Raw genomic sequence first — 19,894 nt, 5'->3', positions numbered from 1 at the left:
TCCATGTCCCTACAAAGGACATGAACTCATCCTTTTTTATGGCTGCATAGTATTCCATGGTGTATATGTGACACATTTTCTTAATCCAGTCTATCGTTGTTGGACATTTGGGTTGGTTCCAAGTCTTTGCTATTGTCAATAGTGCCGCAATAAACATACGTGTGCATGTGTCTTTATAGCAGCATGATTTATAGTCCTTTGGGTATATACCCAGTAATGGGATGGCTGGGTCAAATGGTATTTCTGGTTCTAGATCCCTGAGGAATCGCCACACTGACTTCCACAATGGTTAAACTAGTTTACGGTCCCACCAACAGTGTAAAAGTGTTCCTATTTCTCCACATCCTCTCCAGCACCTGTTGTTTCCTGACTTTTTAATGATTGCCATTCTAACTGGTGTGAGATGGTATCTCATTGCGGTTTTGATTTGCATTTCTCTGATGGCCAGTGATGATGAGCATTTATTCATGTGTCTTTTGGCTGCATAAATGTCTTCTTTTGAGAATTGTCTGTTCATATCCTTTGCCCACTTTTTGATGGCATTGTTTGTTTTTTTCTTGTAAATTTGTTTGAGTTCATTGTAGATTCTGGATATTAACCCTTTGTCAGATGAGTAGATTGCAAAAATTTTCTCCCATTTTGTAGGTTGCCTGTTCACTCTGATGGTAGTTTCTTTTGCTATGCAGAAGCTCTTTAGTTTAATTAGATCCCATTTGTCAATTTTGGCTTTTGTTGACATTGCTTTTGGTGTTTTAGACATGAAGTCCTTGCCCACACCTATGTCCTGAATGGTAATACCTAGGTTTTCTTCTAGGGTTTTTATGGTTTTAGGTCTAACATTTAAGTCTTTAATCCATCTTGAATTAATTTTTCTGTAAGGTGTAAGGAAGGGATCCAGTTTCAGCTTTCTACATATGGCTAGCCAGTTTTCCCAGCACCATTTATTAAATAGGGAATCCTTTCCCCATTGCTTGTTTTTCTCAGGTTTGTCAAAGATCAGATAGTTGTAGATATGCGGCGTTATTTCTGAGGGCTCTGTTCTGTTCCATTGATCTATATCTCTGTTTTGGTACCAGTACCATGCTGTTTTGGTTACTGTAGCCTTGTAGTATAGTTTGAAGTCAGGTAGCGTGATGCCTCCAGCTTTGTTCTTTTGGCTTAGGATTGACTTGGCGATGCGGGCTCTTTTTTGGTTCCATATGAACTTTAAAGTAGTTTTTTCCAATTCTGTGGGAAAATACACGACTTTTTAAAGAAAATTCTTAAAACCTGATTAGGGTAAAAAAATAAAAATATTGTATTTAATTCCAATTAATCTATAAATGTATAATCTAATCACAATTAAAACTCAGCTGGATTTATTTCCAAGTGCTCAATAAAATTACTTAAAAATTTACATGAGATAATAAAGGTTCATGAATAGCTAAATTAGCCTTGAGAAAATAAAAGAGAAATTTGTCTTGTAAGAATTTATAATATAATGGAATAATAATAATGTTAATATTAATAATAAAAAAACTGTATGATATGATTGTTCCAACTAAAATATAGACTGTTTTCAAATAAAATGGCAAAGTCAGAAATAAAACCTCATGAAACATATATAACCTGATATGCAATAGAAGTGGCACCAATACACTAACAATAAAAGGAAAAATATTTAATAGCTTGTTTGGGGCAGACTGCTGAGCTTACATGAAAATAAAGCTGGATCTATATCTTAAACTAACTATAAGGGGGTTCAGTGTTATAGACTTAAAAGTGAAAGATAACATAAGCTAAGAGATGAAAATATAGAACACCATCTTTAGGATCTAGAGGTAGGGAATTCTCTTTTAAACAAAATTAAACACTCACAAACCATTAGGATCAAGGAAATTACTGGAACGTATTTTATCAAAATTTGAAATATCTATTCAACCAGAATAAACAAATATGAAGCTATGGTAGAGGATAGCCTGTGAGAAGATAATTGAAATGTAAAACTTTAGCAAAGATTACTATTTAGAAATATAAGAAATTCCTAAAAACATAAGCAAATATAGGAAACCTAAAAAGTTTAATTCAGCAAAGACAGGAAAAAGACAAATAATAAAAGGAAAACCCATAAAGCTAACCAGTTCAGAAAGATATGCTCAAATTTATTAGTTGTTAGATAATTTCAAAGAAAAACAAGATATCAATCTGCACTGATCAAACTGATAAATGCAGAGAAATTCACTGGCCTCCAATGTAACATTCATAGGACAACTTTTGGCTTCAATATTTGCAGTATCTCAAGTTGGAGGCAACCAAAGTGTTCATCCGTAAGAAAATAGACAAAAAGAAAATTGTAATGTTTACATGATACAAAACATCATGCTACAATTTAAAGCAACAAATTAAATTCATGCATAGCAATGTTGATGGATTTAAAGGCTTGGGGTTATGCTTTTATAAAAGAAAACATAAAAGAATATCTATTGCACAATAGCACTGACAGTATTTACCTATGAAACCTTGAAACATAAATGTGTAAAAGAGTACTACCTTTGTTCAACAAAGAATTGAACAACTCTTTTGGATCCTAAACTGTTCTAGATACTGGAGTTTATTAGGGGCAAAAATATACATATATGTCCTTATTATGATGGAGCATGCAACTCAGAGGGTGGAGACTGACAATATGCTGATTTGAAAACCAATGGAACCTAAAAGGACAACAGGGAATGAGAAAGCTGGAAAGGGCGAGGCAAGCACAGGGAACTAAGAAGCAGCCGCCGCCAGATGGGAGGGCACTCAGGATATGGAGCCTAGAGTTTTTTAAGAAAGGTGATGTGGTCAGTTATGCAAATGCCTCTGAGTTTGAACAGAAGGACCAAACAAGTGGCATCAGGCTGTGCAATGTGACATCATTCATAACCATGTCGAGAGCAGATGTCCTGGAGCCGCAGGAACTGACGCCCCAGAGCAGTGCACTGTGGTGAGACAGAGATTCAGAAAGCGGGTGGAGGAAATATGTGGCACTTTTTCGAGAAGTTTTGCTGTTAGAAAAGCAAAGCAACAAGGAGACAGCTGATGAAGAGCCTGCGCACAAGAGTGAGATGTGTTTTTGCAGAGGAAGAGAGAATGATAGCAGGTGCAAAATATTCAACAACAGGGGAAGTAACTCAAGCATGGTGCAGGAGTCAGCCTTTGAAGAAGGGCCACTTTGGCCATCCTAGAGGGATGGAAGGTGCCAGGTGTGGAGGCCAGTGCAGTGGAGTTGGTAGATTTGGGGCAGGAACATAAGAATGTTCCCATCCATTTAGTTTCTCTGCAAAATGAGGCAAAGCCATCAGCTGTGACATAGAGGAGAAGGGTGTGCAAATATTTTTACCTCCTCGAGCTGTGAATACCGAGGTCTAGGCCTAAGTATGTTCTGATGAAATAAAAAGTATTCAGAGCCTCATTTTCCAATGCACACTCCAGAACCAAGGACTTGGGAGACAGTGAGAGCACTTGGTCCACGCACAGGCAATGAACCCTTCCTTACTAGTAGACAGTGGTAATGGGGCCTCGTTCTGCATGTAAAGGTTGAGAAACATTCTGAATCATCACGAGAAAGCACAGCTCAAACAAGTGAAGACATGCAAGTCCAGCCTAAGTGAGAGAATTGCTTAAGCCCAGGAGTATGAGTCTGCAGTGAGCTATGATTGTGCCACTGCACTCTAGCCTGAGTGACAGGGCAAGACCACTTATTTAAAAAAGAATAATTATTATTTGAAAAAGTGAAGCAAGAAGAGGGACATCAGAAACCAAATCTTCACATGTTCATTACAAGATGATCATAAGCAGGCCGTTATTTCATCTATGAGGGTAACATATTAGTAGATTATGAAATCAGTGTAGTAGAGTCAAGTTCAGCATTTTAAAAGTGAATGAAGAAGAGAAGAGATTAGGAAAAAAAAGAAAGTATCACTGTGCATCTTATGGATATATGCACACATAGTACACACAAACCCTATGTGTGTGTACAATGGAGGTATGCATGGACGTACATGAGTACTATGTCATACACTATCACTTGTTTGAAAAATTGAAAAATACTTCTGTAGGAGATGCAAAGATTTAGATATGATCCCTAAATTCTAGGAATAATAATGCTCATAAGAGGGCTAGGTTAGGGACCAACTCAGAGGCTATGTTCTCAGGAAAACTCCCTTTCTTACCATTCCCAAAACATTAGCCACAAGCTAGAATTTTGTTTCATGCCACCTCTAAATGCCAGCAGTACTGTTTTATACTCCTCCTGTTATAAATGCTGCCATTGTCAGTCTTTTAAAATCCTCCTGAATATTCTTCTGGATACCATTTTATGATTAGAAAATACTGCTAGATATATAGTATTTCAGGGTTTTAAAAAATAGTTCTTGTTGCAGATATTAGTTAATGAACTCAGCTTGTACAAGCTGTGACGAGTTGAAGGAAATCTATTGTTTTGTGCTGTCTACAAGAAATTGTGGACTGATTTTATTCTTGTCATTCCAATATTTTGTTTGTTCTTTACTGTCTTTCAAACTTCATGGAAATATTTGGTTTCATCTGAATTAAAGTAGACATATTCTGAAGCTAAATTTAAAAAATACAACAAAATGAGTGTATCTTTCAGGACTTTTGCCATTCTAAATATTTTATCAGAAAAGTGATAGCAGTTTAACCATAATTCCTTCCCTTTTTTTAGAGCAATAATATTTTCCAGACCTTTCCTTACATTTACACACACACGTATTTTCCATCAGGAACACTATAGAATTCTACCTATTGGGTCTCATTTGTTATTTCTGTGAATTGTATTTCGGCATTTCATTTCCTTTCCTCTTTTTTTTTTTTTTTTTTTTTTGAGACAGGGTTTTGCTCTGTTGCCTAAGCTGGAGTGCAGTGGCACAACCAGGGCTCACTGCAGCTTCCACCTCCTCTGCTCAAGTGATCCTCCCACCTCAGCCTCCCATGTAGCTGGAACTACAGGACTGTGCTACCACACCCTGCTAAGTTTTTTGTTTTTTGTTTTGTAGAGACAGGGTCTCACTATATTGCCCAGGCTGGTCTTGAACTCCTGGGCTCAAGTGATCTGCCCACTTCAGCCTCCCAAAATGCTGATATTATAGCTGTGAGCCACATTTCCTCCTTTTTGAAACAGGAAATTTCATAGCTGTGTTGCTCTATGAATGCAAATCTCCAACCTTGTTTGTCGATTTTAGAATTTTTTAAGGGATCCTGATTATTTTTATTAATTTAAAACTACCCAAAAAGTATGTAATGTAGACATTATTTTTCTCAACTCTTTTAATACTACAGCTGAAGGGAAGAACTCCAGCCCATCTTTCCTGGCCCAGCAGCCCAGCCTGGGAAGACAGAGGCACTGAGGCAGCTGTGGCTATGTTTCATTTGAACCCTGTGTAAATGTCACACTCGGCTGTGCAACCCTGTCAGACTCATGGCTGACACTTATTACTGTAGTCACAGCTGTCTTTGAAACAACTTTATACCTAGAGAGAATCTGAAATCTCCAGGGAAGCACAGTTTCCTGGAAATTTGGAAGCATGTTCAGTGTCAAAGGAAAGAAAGCCAGCAACATTAAAAAAAAAAAAGCTATACTGTTGGGGAGGCAGGGGTGGGGATTCCTTCAGAAGCTAAATATGTCCCAAGGGTTTTAGGTCATAGGGGCCGGCACAAAATCCACAGGCTCTTCAAAGGTAGTTTCTCCCTTTCCACTTAACTGAAAGCAATCTTTCCCCTGAGGAGAGTGGTTACTGTAAGCAGAGGCAGCTCATTCTCCCACAGATGGCTAATAAGACAACTGGAGAGGTGTGATTTTCCTAGTTCACCTCTACTCGCTCAAAATCCCTTTTCTCCTTGCTGAAATTCCTGATATAAAGATGTATGGATGCAGATCCCTGACCACCCCATGCCACACACAACTCTCATTAATCCAGGTTTGCAGATCCAAGTTCACACCTCTTTAATTCACCTCCTCCCATTATCCTGGAAGACTTCAAGGTCTATGCAAAGCAGCCATCCAACCAATTTAACCATGATCTTTGAAATTCTCAATTCCAATGACTCTCAGGCTCAGACCCATGAGCCACCCAGTGGCTGTGGTCCACAATTTGCCATCACCCACAACTGATCTACACCTGAAAGCCCAGTGCCCAGCGATGTGCTCAGATCACAAACTGCACTTCCAGCGTGCTCACCTCCTTGCTTCCACGGCACCCACTCCTTGAGTTTGACAATTCTTTCAACCCCTTGACCCCACCATGTTTGCAGTCTAGCCACCATTCATTGGCCTCACTTTTCAATATCCATCTTCAAGTTCATAGTCCATCAGGTGAACAAATCACTTGTGATACTTTTCATGTGCTGATTTTCATCATACTCTCACATTTACATTGTTTTGTTTTTGTTTTTGCTTTTAATTTTTACAGGCACACAGTAGATATATATATTTAGGGAATACGTGAGATATTTTGATACAGGCATATGATGCATAATAATCACATCAGAGTAAATGGGGTGCCCATCACTTCAAGCATTTATCATTTCTTTGTGTTACAAACATTCCAATTATACCCTTTTAGTTATTTAACAATGTACATTATTATTGACTGTAATCACCCTCTTATGCTGTCAAATACAAGCTCTTATTCATTCTATCTAACTATATTTTTGTATCCATTAACTATCCCCACTCTTCACCCCACTACCCCTCCCAGCCTCTGGTCACCATCATTCTGCTCTCTATCTACTTGCAATACTTTTAACCCCTTTCCATTGGTCTTTCTTGCAATATGATGTCACCCTCAATCATTAAGTCATCCATTGTTTTGCCCCACCTCTCAGATGCCTACCCATATGGAGACAGACACAAATATTGCCAAAAGATACCCTTTTTTCCCCAAATTCAGAAGTGGCCCTAATTCCATTTGCTTCTCTCTAGTAAGGTTCCATTCTTATTTGACTCAATGAATATTTTAAACATACATGAATTTCCTTTAATCTCCTTTTATCAATTTCCTTACTCTCAGTATCAGATCCACATTTTTAATATTAAAAATAAAATAGAACTCTCATGAAAGGTTGCTAAATACAGATGTGCATCATGTGCACTGCATAAAGGCTACTGACCCATGAACAGTGTGGGAATTGAAATCCAGTCTGTGCTGAGGTAGAGGGCTCCTCGGTTGGTATAATTTGCTTGATGGGAGAGAGAATCCTTTGACAGTCAGTCCACCCAGAAGAGGTGCCTTTTTTTTTTTTTGTAATTTACAAAGTTCTGCATCAGACATTAATTATTCTCACTTCTCCCCAACACACACACACACACACACACACACTTTATTATTATTATTATTATACCCACCCGCAAACACTTCTTGTCATCTCAGCAAAGGTCGCAGCTCTCATCTTGTCTAGACTTATCCCCACACATGAGTTTTCTACCTCATCACCTTCACCCTTCTCTGGAATCTCCCTTTGGTGTTTATCCTTTTGTTCTTCCATATCTTCAAGCCTTCTAGCATGGTTCATTTCCAAAATAATCTAGGATAAGACCTGCAAGGTAACATTGTAACAGAATGAATTACTGAGCTAGGAATTTTCTTTAACACCAACTAGGTTAGGGGAGTTGAAAATGAGTTGAGGTGGATAAATTATTATGCAAAAAATTGTCAATCAACTTGCCTTAAAATTTCACCAACAACGTTGCCATCGTATCCTGCAATGCTTAGTGGCAGCGAGTGTGGGAAACCAGGAGCCAGAGTTGTGGTATTTCCTGATTCACTGAGAGGCTTGGCAGGGCACTGCCTTTGAGTGACCCGCACTGAGCTTCAGAAACGCAACATGGGTGTGGAAAGACAGCCTGCACTTGTAGCGGGGGAAACGGGGGAGATGTTAGAAAAAAAGTGTAATGGAGTTCAGATTTTTAAGCAGATAACCAGTAATTCTTAGTCATAGGACTTTTCTCAGCTTTTCATCTGCCTTGACTTGGCTGAAGTATTTGCTATTGACAATCATCCCCCTTCTCCTTAAGTGCACCTTTCCTTTTGTCTTCAGGGACAGCTGTCACCCAGATCCCATCTGTCCATCAGATCATGGCTCTTCCCACCCTCAGCCTCTACTTTTCTGTCTCTGTCCCCCAGCATGGATGTCACACGGGTGTTGGCCTCAGCATCCATCACTGGTTCCCAGCATGCCCCTCTCACCATCATCCCACCTTAGGCTTCCTCTGCCCACTTTATACAGTGGAGCCCACTTCCACCTCTGCTGTCCTGATGCCACAGTATTACTTGTATTAATAGGATCAATTCAACCAACTTGTTTTCCATTTCTGGTACATGGATCCCTGCCTTGATTAAGTAAAGAATTCCCTTCCTTCCACCATGGGCATTACTGTTGGCCTTCCCTATCTGTGGGTTCCAAATTCGAGGATTTCACTAATCAAGGATAGAATTTTTATGGATCTGCGGTTGGTTGAATCCGTGCTCAGATGCAGAACCTGCAGATGCAGTGGAAGGCTGACTGTAAGGGACTTGAGCATCTGTGGATTTTGGTATCCAGTGAGGCCCTGGAACCAGTCCCCTGGGGTTACTGAAGGATGACTGCACTTAGCTTTGGACACCCACCCTCAGCCAGGGCTTCTGTTCCTGCTGAAGGAATCCCTGGTGTTCATGGTCTGTCCCTGACAGCCTCATTAATATAACTTGATGAAGGCAGCTTCCCCTCAATTTTCAGTGCCAAGTCCCATTGTCCCGATTGGACATGCTACTTGGGAACCTAGATGGACACTGAGCTGCGCCACTGAATTCTCTGCATATCAGCTAAGAACAGATGGGCTTTCTGCTACCACCTGAGCTCATGTTGTTCCCTTAAACAAATCTCACCTGATTCCAATGGCTCCTTAAAAGAAGGGTGTCTCCCTCAGACCCTATCACCTCAGAATGGGCTATAGCAAAGGCCTTCTTCACGGTCCCTCCTTCAATCCCCCTAAGTAAAATCTCACTGCTGCCAGATCAGCCCCACTGGAAATGACTCTTATAAGGGAACCATCCCGTCCAACAAAAACGTTATGGTCAAAATCCTCTGGATGGCTGCCCAGTTGACAAGTTCTCATTTTCTAGAACTTCCCCCTCTTCTAATCTACATGCAGACATATCTTCTTTTCTGTTCCTATGCTAACCCTCCCTTGTGCCATACTTGGTTAGATGGGGCATAAATATATGTGTCAATCTTAGTTCTCCCACTATGAGTTTTGAGTAGGAAAAGAGAACATTGGATGGGTCCCTCTGTAGGGCTGGGTCTGTGCTATAGATGCTTAGTGAGCTGGAAACTGAGACAGTGAGGTCATCTGTCTTGTGTTACTCAAAGGAGTATTTCAAGGAATTGTCACACAGGATTGCAGTAATTGATATTGCCAGTTCTTGCTTCTACTTTCAAAAAGTGATTCCAAAATGGGACTACTTTGTAATCCTCACATTGTGCCACTTATTTGGACATCACAGATCCCTGATGCAATGGGGTGGGATACATCCACCATCCAGTGCCTATTTGCTAAGGACCTGCAGTGTGCAAGGAACTAAGGGAACACAGAGGATCATCAGGCAAGGATTTTATGCAACAGAAGCTTGCAATGCAGAACTGAAGAAATAAGATGATCACCCACATCAAATTCTATTTTCTTTGGCATCTGAGTTCACCAAAGAAGAAAGGAATTTCCCTGAGAGAAACATGCCAAAATAAAGTTATGTACTGGCAGTTCCTAATCTCCTGATGCCTTTGGAAAGTAAAACAATGGCACATTGGGACAAAGGTAATAGCAAAATTTGTCATTAAGATTTCTGCCCTTGATTGAATACCATTCAATAATAACTGCAAACATCACAGAGATCATATCCAATCTCAAGCTTTTTAAAAATTCAAATAATTTCGATCACCCATTTTTCTTTCTTCATCTGATGTATGTTGAATGAATCTAAGAACCAGTTGGGGTAGAGGGCTGAAATGTTATACATTAATCAAGCAAGACAGCCCAAGACCTTCTTACTGCTCTGTAAACTGAATTATTTCTCCCAACCCCTAAGCCCCAAGGAAATAGGCACCAAAAGTAAAGAGAAACACCCTTGAATCAAAACATTATCTAGCATGAGGAACTTAAACTTCATAATCAAATGTTTATTTTCACTTCCTACATTGATACCCTCAGGGTGAACAAGAAAGGAGACACCTTTCTTTTGTATTTGCCAGTTCCTTACACTGTTGGCATCTCTGATGACCAGCCAAAAATTATTAAACTGCCTCAGTAAACCCAGCACTAGCTTTATGTTCAGTTTAGGAGGAAGGGAGGGTATTCTACTGGCATTGTTTCTGGGAATTCATCTACCAACTAGACTAGTTAGATGGGGAATTCTACAATCCATAACTGAACACAATTGTGACCTATTAAAAATAAAAACTCAGAATATAGACACCTTGTGGTAGAAACATCACAGAGTTCCTTTAAGCATTCACTGCCCGGACCCTGTAACATGCCTACACGTATTTCAGAATGCAAGAGAAGGCTGCATGTATTATTCTACCCCCAGTAACTCCTGTGATAGATTATAACAGATGGAAGACTTGGCAATAATAGGCACAGCTGTGCAGGGCCAGGACAAAAGAATAAAGAAATCACTACAGTCCAAGTAAGTGCTTCTAATTATCTGTTTCTTTTTAATATGAGAAATGCTATTGTGTCTCTGTCTTCTAAATACTGAACACAAAGCATATTTATATTCATCTAGGACTTAAAGATGCTATCCATCCTAAGCAAAGAGGCCCCTCCAATTCCCAGCATTTATTCATGTGTTAATATCATGAAGATGTGCCTGGTTTATAGAAGTATGGTCAAAACTTACCTATTATAGCCATTTTTTCATCTAAAGTTGTTACTTATGGATGTAACAGAAATAGAGCTCTGACCAAATCTTATTATTTTTCCAGATAATATTTTTTTTACTTTTATTTAGTGCCATTATTCCTATCCCTGAAGCAAAGTAGGGTAGTGGGGAAAAAAAAAACATTTAAAGCCGTGGGTTTTAAGCCTCATTCTCCCATAGAATATTGGAGGATAGTTACATAACCTCCCTGAATGCATTTTGAAAAACAATCAAGTAATAGTAAGCTTTTTTACAAATTTAGTTTGAGGATTAAATGTAATAATGATTATTTGTTAAACTTCCAATAGTGAGACAGATAACAAGTGCTCAATAAGTATTTGTGAAATATAGAAATCAATAACTTTGTATTATATGAGAACGTTATCATCTCTATTTTAAGAATAGGATATTTGTTGGCAATAGATGTGGCTCTTTCTTGGTTGCACTCATGTTCCCCCTCCATGGACCTAAGCAGGAGGCCATCAGGGTATGTGGCTGGGCTGGGCCTAAATTAGAATGACCTCAGCACCAGCCTAGGAGGGGCAGGGGCTGGCGCTGGGGTCAACACCCTTCTTTCCCTAGGATGTTTGGTCACCCTAGATACTAAACAGCAGAGAGAGGCACTCAGTGTGGAAGGATGTTTGAACTGAAAGGATGCTGTCCTCAGAGTCAAACAAACCTAGCTAGAAGTGCTGGCTCTGCTACTTATTCATGGTCCTGACTTGTATCTTCACTGCTCTGAGTTTCTATCCTCAGCTGGTACATGGGGACAAGCAAAGCTACCATCTATCATCACCATTCCTGAAAGGTAATCTATGTAATAGTTCTACCCTAGTGCCTGGCGTCTCAGTCCTCAATCAGTGCTGCCCATTGTTATTGAGGACTGTGTTCCTCCCAGCTTCACCCCACTCTCCTGCTTCTGGATTCATAGATGCGTGACACACTTATACAACACACAGTACAGATATACAACACACACATGCAACACACACCTGCAACACACACCTGCAACACACACACTATAGACACACTACAACCACACACACGATGCACGCATATAACATACAACACACACTATAGATACAACACACACATACTACACACCACGCATACAGCACATACAACACACAACACATACATAACACAGAGAACACACACAACTACATAACACATACCCAACACACACAACACATACAGGCATACCACACAACACACATAACACACACACAACACACACATCTAATACACACCAAACACCACACAACACATGCACAGCACATATAATATACTACACACAACACACACAGCCAGTACAGAACACATACATCACACATTCCTAAAATATACAACACACACACAACACTTATACAACAAACACACAAACTACGTGCAGACATACAACACAATACACACACACAATACAAAACACACATGTGCCACACACCACACACACATACATAACACAAATGCCACACACAACACACATTAGTTGTGGCACAGGTTCTCAGCCAAGTCTCTGTGAGCAAGCTTCCATTGCTGTGCTGGTAGAATCAAGTCATTCTGCCAGACTGGAGATCCAGCTGATTCCAGGAGTTTCTATGCCATGTATAAGACCCAGCCTACACTGTCCCAGGAGATGAGGTCCAAGCACGCATCTTCCCCAGGCTGCAGCTCCAGGCAGCCTCTGAGCCGGGCAGACTAGTGGAGGTGGATTCCGTAGGAGTGTGCTGAGCTCCAACCCCACATGTTCGAGGATTTCAACTCCCTCCGGGTCTCAAGCTTAGCTGGTGGTCACAGCACACTGATGCCTTGTCAGGTGCTTGATGGCTGTCCTCAGAACTGGAGCCTCACCCCTTATCTCAGCTTCCTGCTTGGGGTTCCTGCCATTTTGCACCATCTCCTGGTTGGTGATCTGGCTAACTCACAATGACTTATCTCCCAAATACCCTACTGATCCTACCTGACTATTACCAACAGCTGGGATCAATTAGCCCACCACGAGCTCTGGGGATTGCATCCCAAAATCTTACATGGGCTATCTTCAGGAAAAAATATTTTTTGAGTAGATGGGGTTGTGATATTTATATTGACAGGACTACTCTATTTAAAATAGGGTTACTGAATTTATCCCTAAGCTGATGACTTCCAGGAAAATACGGATTTTACCAACAGATTTATTAATAATATTTATTCATAATTGATCAATCTACTGAATATAGAATATCAATATCTACTATATTACTGATTTTAATAAACTACCCAGTATTTACCTAAATGTCTCCATCCTCAAAAGCAAGGCGTGCTGCCTGAATTAGAAAATAGATAATTTTCTAAACTCCTTACTTCTCTTTTATTAAAAAATAATTCACACACTGGGGCCTGTTGGAGGGCATGGGGGAAGAGAGAACATCAGGAAGAATAGTTGATGGATGGTGAGCTTAATACCTAGATGATGGGTTAATCTGTGCAGCAAACCACCATGACATACGTTTACCTATGTAACAAACCTGCACATCCTGCACATGTGCCCTGGAACTTAAAAGTTGAAAAAAAAAATGTAGTGTATAGGCTGCGTGCGGTGGCTCACTCCTGCAATCTCAGCACTTTGGGAGGCCGAGGTGGGTGGATTACCTGAGGCCAGGAGTTCAAGACCAGCCTGGCCAACATGGTGAAACCCCGTCTCTACTAAAAACACAAAACTTAGCCGGGCATGATGGGGGGTGCCTGTAATCCCAGCTACTCAGGACGCTGAGGCAGGAGAATTGCTTGAACCCGGAAGGCAGAGGTTGCAGTGAGCCAAAATCGTGCCATTGCACTCCAGCCTGGGCGACAGAGCAAGACTCCTTGAAAAAAAGTGTAGTGTATATTTTTAAATTGCTAAAAGCATAGTTGTTTAACATTCTTTCCACAAAAACAAATCATAAGTTGGTAAGGTGATTGTTATGTTAATTAGCTTGATTTACTCTTTCTACCATTGTAGACTATATAGAGTTCAAAACATCACATTGTACCCCAAAATATATACAATTATTACCTGTCAAGAAACAAATTTTAAAAATACATACAATAATTAAAATTTTAAATAATAATAATAATATTTACAGTTCTGGCACAAGTCTAAAAGCCTTACACGAACCACTTCATTTACTCCTCACGAGAAGTACATGAGGCAAATACTATTACAGTGCCCATTTTACAGGTGAGCAAATATTCACTAATTCTTTTGTTAACTATAACTTGTATAGTTCAGGTATAACCTATTCTATGTTGAGTTCAATAGCAATAAGAGACATTCATTCAATTATCATATTCTTATACTTTCTTCTGAAAGTTGATGTTCATAGTTATACAAGTGAATATGCAAAACTTACACAAAATTATATCTTGCCCCTGAGCCAGAAATACCTTTACTAAGCTTACGGACAGCATTGATCTGTGAGGCTACTACAGATGCGTTGTTGAACACTTTTGTGGCATGCAGTGTGAAGTGGATAAACTCTGTCTCATACCTGAAGCTATGAGAACAATATCTGGGCCCCGAGGAAGCTGTAATGGAAGGTTGTGGCCGCTGAGTGCAGGTCAGGCCAGTGCGCCAAGCAAGAGGAGAGCAGAGTTCATGGGCCTCTTCCTGCTCCACAGCCGAGCCCCCAGCAGAGCGCAGCTGCCCTCTGTAGCCTGACTCGCCTGAGTCACAAGGGGATCTGATGATACCTGGGAAGCAGAAGAAAGGCCTTTGTCAAACAAAGGCCACATTTCCATTTTTCTTGGTTTACAGGAGGGATCCACAGCCTGGATGAGAAAAGAGAAAATGAGAAGTAAGCAAGGTTATAAAGATGGTGTTGCTGAAAGGTTTGTTTTTTCCAGCTGATGCTTAAGATAAAGGAATAAATGACTTCTAATGGGCAGGCATCTCACAAAAATATAGCAAAGTTTGATCACCTAGAGACCACCTAATTTGACCAAGTGGCTTGAAAAATGAACCTGGAGATCGTAGGAAAAAAGAAAAAAGCTGCAACAAAGCAGCAAAGCTGAATGAAATAGACTTCATCTTCTAAGAAATATAAATAACATGTGAGAGATGTCCAGTATTCTAGACAAAGATAAGAAAGATTGTTGTTACCGAAGACCTACGTGTTTATATACTGCTATGCAGTGAAGGTAACACTATCTCCTAGGAAGCACCAAGGCACAATGAGAAGAGGTTTATAATGGAAACAGCAATGGGATTGGGGAGGAGCAAGGGAGATATATTTTATTTTAAAAGTCACACTTCTGTAGGAAGGAAAGCAACTTGGTTTCATATGCCAAGAAATACATGAGCATGAAAATGCATGACCTGAAAATCTCTCCCTGTGAAGGCGGACTTGAGAGCAGGGAGACTGCAATGAATTGTGTGCTCCACCTACTGACCCGAAGATGGGCAACAGAGTGAAACAGAGAATCCAGGTGGACTCAGAGATGATTTAATAGAAACGCCCATCGGCTGCCTTAATTTTAAGCAACTCCAGGCCCTTCACCAGTTCCTCTTGCTGTTCCATTTTCATGTTAGAATCAGGTGATATCTGTACCAAGAAGAGCACCCTAAGGGAGCAAGAAACAGGAAAGCTTCATCTTGTATTCCCTCCAAATCCCCCTCATCGAATGAACGGGCTGATTTTATTTTTTAAATCATATGCTTCTAGCCTAATGTGGTGCAGGAAGTGCTTTGACTGCTCCTTGCACATTACACGTGCATGCCTCAGAAACCCATCATTATTTCCCTCTACCTGCTCCAGCAACCTTCCTCTCTTGATATGAGATTCATCCTCCGTGAGTGCCCTAAAACTCTGCAGCCCTCCAGGGAAGATGCAATCAAACCGCAGACACGTTGGTGGAAAGCACTGCAGGGGTCCATTTCTTTAGGCTGGCATGCAGATGGACTAAAATATTCACCAGAGGAAAAGCAGGACCACGGTCATTAGAAGAGAACAGATTGAGGAGTCCCCAGAGTGCCTCAAAGGAAACCAAAAGCCCAAATACATTTGAAAACTAAAGTGTGGTATAAATCAATACATTTAAACTTGTAATTCAAGGTTATTCATTCAGCTGAAACTTCTTGCACATTTCAAATGTCCTTTCTGTGAGTTCAAAGAGTTCATGCATTTGAAATTTGAAACCAAAAAAAAAGGTCAAACTTCACATTTTCACAGAAGGCAGCATGTCTGTGGAGTAATCATTATTTGGGATTACGTGTTTTGTGTCATATATTCAGAAGACTGTTTTATTCTACTTTGTCCCGGAATTGGTAGGAATATTGGACTGTTTCACTGTGATCCAGAGCTCATAATCGTGAAACATATTAGTCTCTTTGGGATGCTGGAATCAAGTCTTTCATGTAATAAGTCAAATCTGAAGTCATATGCTGTGTTTGATTCATCTTGGCTTGTTCTTTTAAGTGAAACGAGGCTTGAAGACACAGGCAGAATAAATGCTCTTCTTTGATAGAGCCAGAAACTCTCCCCAGCAGCCTTTCAGATCAATGGAAAATCACTTTCTGGGATAATCATACATGAGCATATTTCATCTGCTGACTTCTCAGCACAGATGAGGTTATCAGAATAGCAAGAACTGAAACAGTAGCCTCTCCATAATGAGCCCAGAAGCAGTTTCTTTTCAAGGGAGAGAGGATCAGGGAATAGTCTGGGTGTTGGCTGACTCAGCAAGAACCACAGTAGCTCTCTCCAAGAGGCAGAAACAATAAGGGCCAGGGGTATGTCTTCTGGAGTTGGACTTGCTGAGAATCCTAACGCTCTGTGTCTCAGTTTTCTCAGCTGTAAAATGAGAATTAAAAGTGTACCTTTCAGCCGGGCATGGTGGCTCATGCCTGTAATCCCAGCACTTTGGGAGGCCAAGGCGGGAGGATCATGAGTTCAAGAGATCAAGACCATCCTGGCCAACAAGGTGAAACCACCTCTCTACTAAAAATACAAAAATTAGCTGGGCATGGTGGCGTGCACCTGCAGTCCCAGCTACTGGGGAGGCTGAGGCAGGAGAATCGCTTGAACCCGGGAAGTGGAAGTTGCAGTGAGCTGAGATCATGCCACTGCACTACAGCCTGGAGACAGAGCAAGACTCTGTCACACACATACACAGAAAAGTGCACCTTTCTTATAAGGCTTGTTTTGGGGAATAGCAAAGTTACTAGGCACTGAGAATAGTAATGGGTACATAATAAAATGCTACCTAAAGAGTACTGTCATCATACTTATCATCATCATCGTTATCATCCTCAACCTTATCAAAGTTAGTAGAGACACTACATATCAAACATATTTTAAATGTGGATATCAAAATCCAGAAAGCTTTAGTAACTCAGAAGCCTGAAGCCTGAAGGTAGCCAAAACATATATATATATAACAACCCGAGAGGAATAGGTGATCTGAGTCAGTGGTATCAAAATGATATATTTTCATACCAGACAAGAAAAATAAGACAAGGTGAAGATATGAAGCAGTTCTATGGCAGAGACAAGTGCTTCTCGTATGACTTTGTCTTGAGAACTTGGAATAATTAAGTCTAGCTTTGGATTTCAGGGCCCACATGATACAAGATTTTACTTCAAGTTCGCATTTGCTGCTGCACAATTATGTTCAAATAGGACTTCCTAGGTAAGAAGTTCTCCAACACAGCACAGGTTGAACTGAGGAGAGAAAGGTAAATATGTTGGATGCAGGCTGGGAACTGTCATAAAGCTGATGGCTCTGACCACCTCTTTTTGTGTGGCACCTATGGGAAGTGATTGGGTCAAATAGTTTCCCCAACCTAGAGAAGGGCACACAGGCTTTGAAGCACGTCAGCAGCTTCCTCATAATATAATGATACCTCTGACTCAGATCACCCATTCTTCTTGGGTCATTATATGTGTATATATATTTATATATATATAATATGTATTATGTATTATTAATATATGTATATATATTATATGTATATGTGTGTGTGTGTGTGTGTGTGTGTGTGTGTGTGTGTGTGTGTGTATATATATATATATATATATAATGACCCAAGAGGAATAGGTGATCTGAGTCAGAGGTATCATTTTGGAAAAGAAGGGGTTGTTGTTATTAACTTGAAAGATGAAGAATGAAGAGAACTGTGAAAGGCCAGGTTAGGGACTGGGAGAGTAGGGACTAGGAGAGCTGTGGGGCCAGCCTGTGCTGTCCTAGCTCAATACATAGCATCCCCCTTTCCTCAGTGTGTTCATCTTTTAAATGCTTTTCTGCCTCTGAAAATTGTTACAATAATTTAACAATATAATAAATGGGAATTACTTTGAAAATTAAAAGACATTATGGAAATAATTATAATAGCTAATATTTATTGTGAGCTCAATTTCCTAAGAGCTTGGTAATTTTCCAAACTCTTTTCCTATAATAATAAATTTAACATTCACAACATTGCAATGAGTTGGTACTAATAGTCTCCCCATTAAACAGATGAGTCCAGCAGGTTAAATGGCATGCCCAAGGCTGCATAGGTAGTAAGAGGCCCACATCATGTTCCAGGCACCATCATAGGGACTGGGGATTCAACAGTGAACAGGAGCAGAAAGGTGGTTGCCTTTAAGAATGGCAACGTGTCACATACAAGACTAATGAACAACTAACCATAACTGTCAGATGGTAGAAGGGGCATAAGAAAAAGAAGGCAAGGTCAAGGGGTGAAGCAGTTATGTTGCAGAGACACGTTCAAACAGGACTTTCTCGGGGAGACGATCTGGTGATGGAACACAGGTCGAACTCCAGAGAGAATCGCATGTAGGATGGAAGGTTAGGAATCAGGGAGAGGCAGGAACAGCTGCAGTGCTGCCCACAGCTGTGATGCTGAACACCTCTGCTTGTATGTGGGATCTATGGGAGCTAGTTGTATAAAACGGTTACAGAAGAAAGAAGCACCAGAGGGCTCAAGGGAGAGAAAACAGCAAGTGTGGCCAAGCAGGCCAGTGGGGCGGGAGATCAGTGAGCAAGAAGGAAGTGATGCTTACAAGGGTCCTGATCTGCCGGCACAGAACATGTGGCCATGACGTGGAGTGCTGTGTTGAACCATGACAAAGCAGCAAAGTTCACATAGGTACCCACAGTATTGCTGATAATGCGTTATAGTATCAGTACCTTCAATACAAGTTTGTAAACAAATAATTCACTTCATCAAAAATTCATGCACCGGGAGGGAAGCCGGTGGAGAGAAGTCTGAGTTATCAGACATACTCAGTACCAGGGTTGTTGGGTATAGGCCAGTCAATCACCAAACAGATTGACTGAAATCATGTGGTCCCAGGTGAACGCTCTTCACCTATGACACAATCCACGTGAGTGGGATTTCATTAACCAAAAGAAGGAGCCAAGCCCAATATGATTTTCAATGTGGCTTTGTATAAAATTACTCAGAGGGAATCATGTGAATTACAGTTTGCTAGTGAATTAAATTTTTCCCCATTTTCTATGGTAAGTAGTTGTCAAGCGAGGATAGCCCATAATTTATCAAAGACCTGGAAGACATTTCCAATACAATTGATTTCATTTCTCAATTAAAAAGGTCAATGTCCTTGAATTCTAACAACATCTGAAAATATCCATCTAATTAGACTTTCAAAAATCTATGAGAGGAATTCATTTTACCTACCTGTCATCTGTTTTGATTGTTGAACTTTTTAACAAATGAAAAGCAATTGATGAAGCTTCTCAGCAAACAAAGCAAACATAATGCCAAATGCTGAATCCATCACTTAGAAACAGAAGAAAGTAATAGCCAAGATTTATGCATCAATAAAGCTCAGCTGCTTTTTTCAGTAGGGTCCCCTGGGATCTAACCTGCAAGGTGTGTGCTTCTCTAATCACTTTGGCTTGAGAATTTGGAATAAATAAGTCTAGATTTGCATTTCAGGGCTCACGTAATACAAGATTTTACTTCAAGTTCACATTTG

At 40.3% G+C, this 19,894-nt stretch overlaps 2 annotated features.

Annotated features, from left to right (window-relative positions):
* Positions 14,047-14,546: an enhancer, noted in NCBI's record as "H3K4me1 hESC enhancer chr7:51842097-51842596 (GRCh37/hg19 assembly coordinates)". NCBI's record gives its function as "activates a minimal SCP1, AML or CMV promoter by ChIP-STARR-seq in primed H9 embryonic stem cells {active_cell/tissue: H9 hESC(primed)}" and the evidence as "EXISTENCE:reporter gene assay evidence [ECO:0000049][PMID:30033119]".
* Positions 14,547-15,048: an enhancer, noted in NCBI's record as "H3K4me1 hESC enhancer chr7:51841595-51842096 (GRCh37/hg19 assembly coordinates)". NCBI's record gives its function as "activates a minimal SCP1, AML or CMV promoter by ChIP-STARR-seq in primed H9 embryonic stem cells {active_cell/tissue: H9 hESC(primed)}" and the evidence as "EXISTENCE:reporter gene assay evidence [ECO:0000049][PMID:30033119]".

This window comes from Homo sapiens, chromosome 7 (assembly GCF_000001405.40).
Source record: "Homo sapiens chromosome 7, GRCh38.p14 Primary Assembly".
Lineage (NCBI taxonomy): Eukaryota > Metazoa > Chordata > Mammalia > Primates > Hominidae > Homo > Homo sapiens.
Note: the sequence above shows the minus strand (reverse complement) of the source record. Positions and strands in the feature narration are given on the sequence as shown.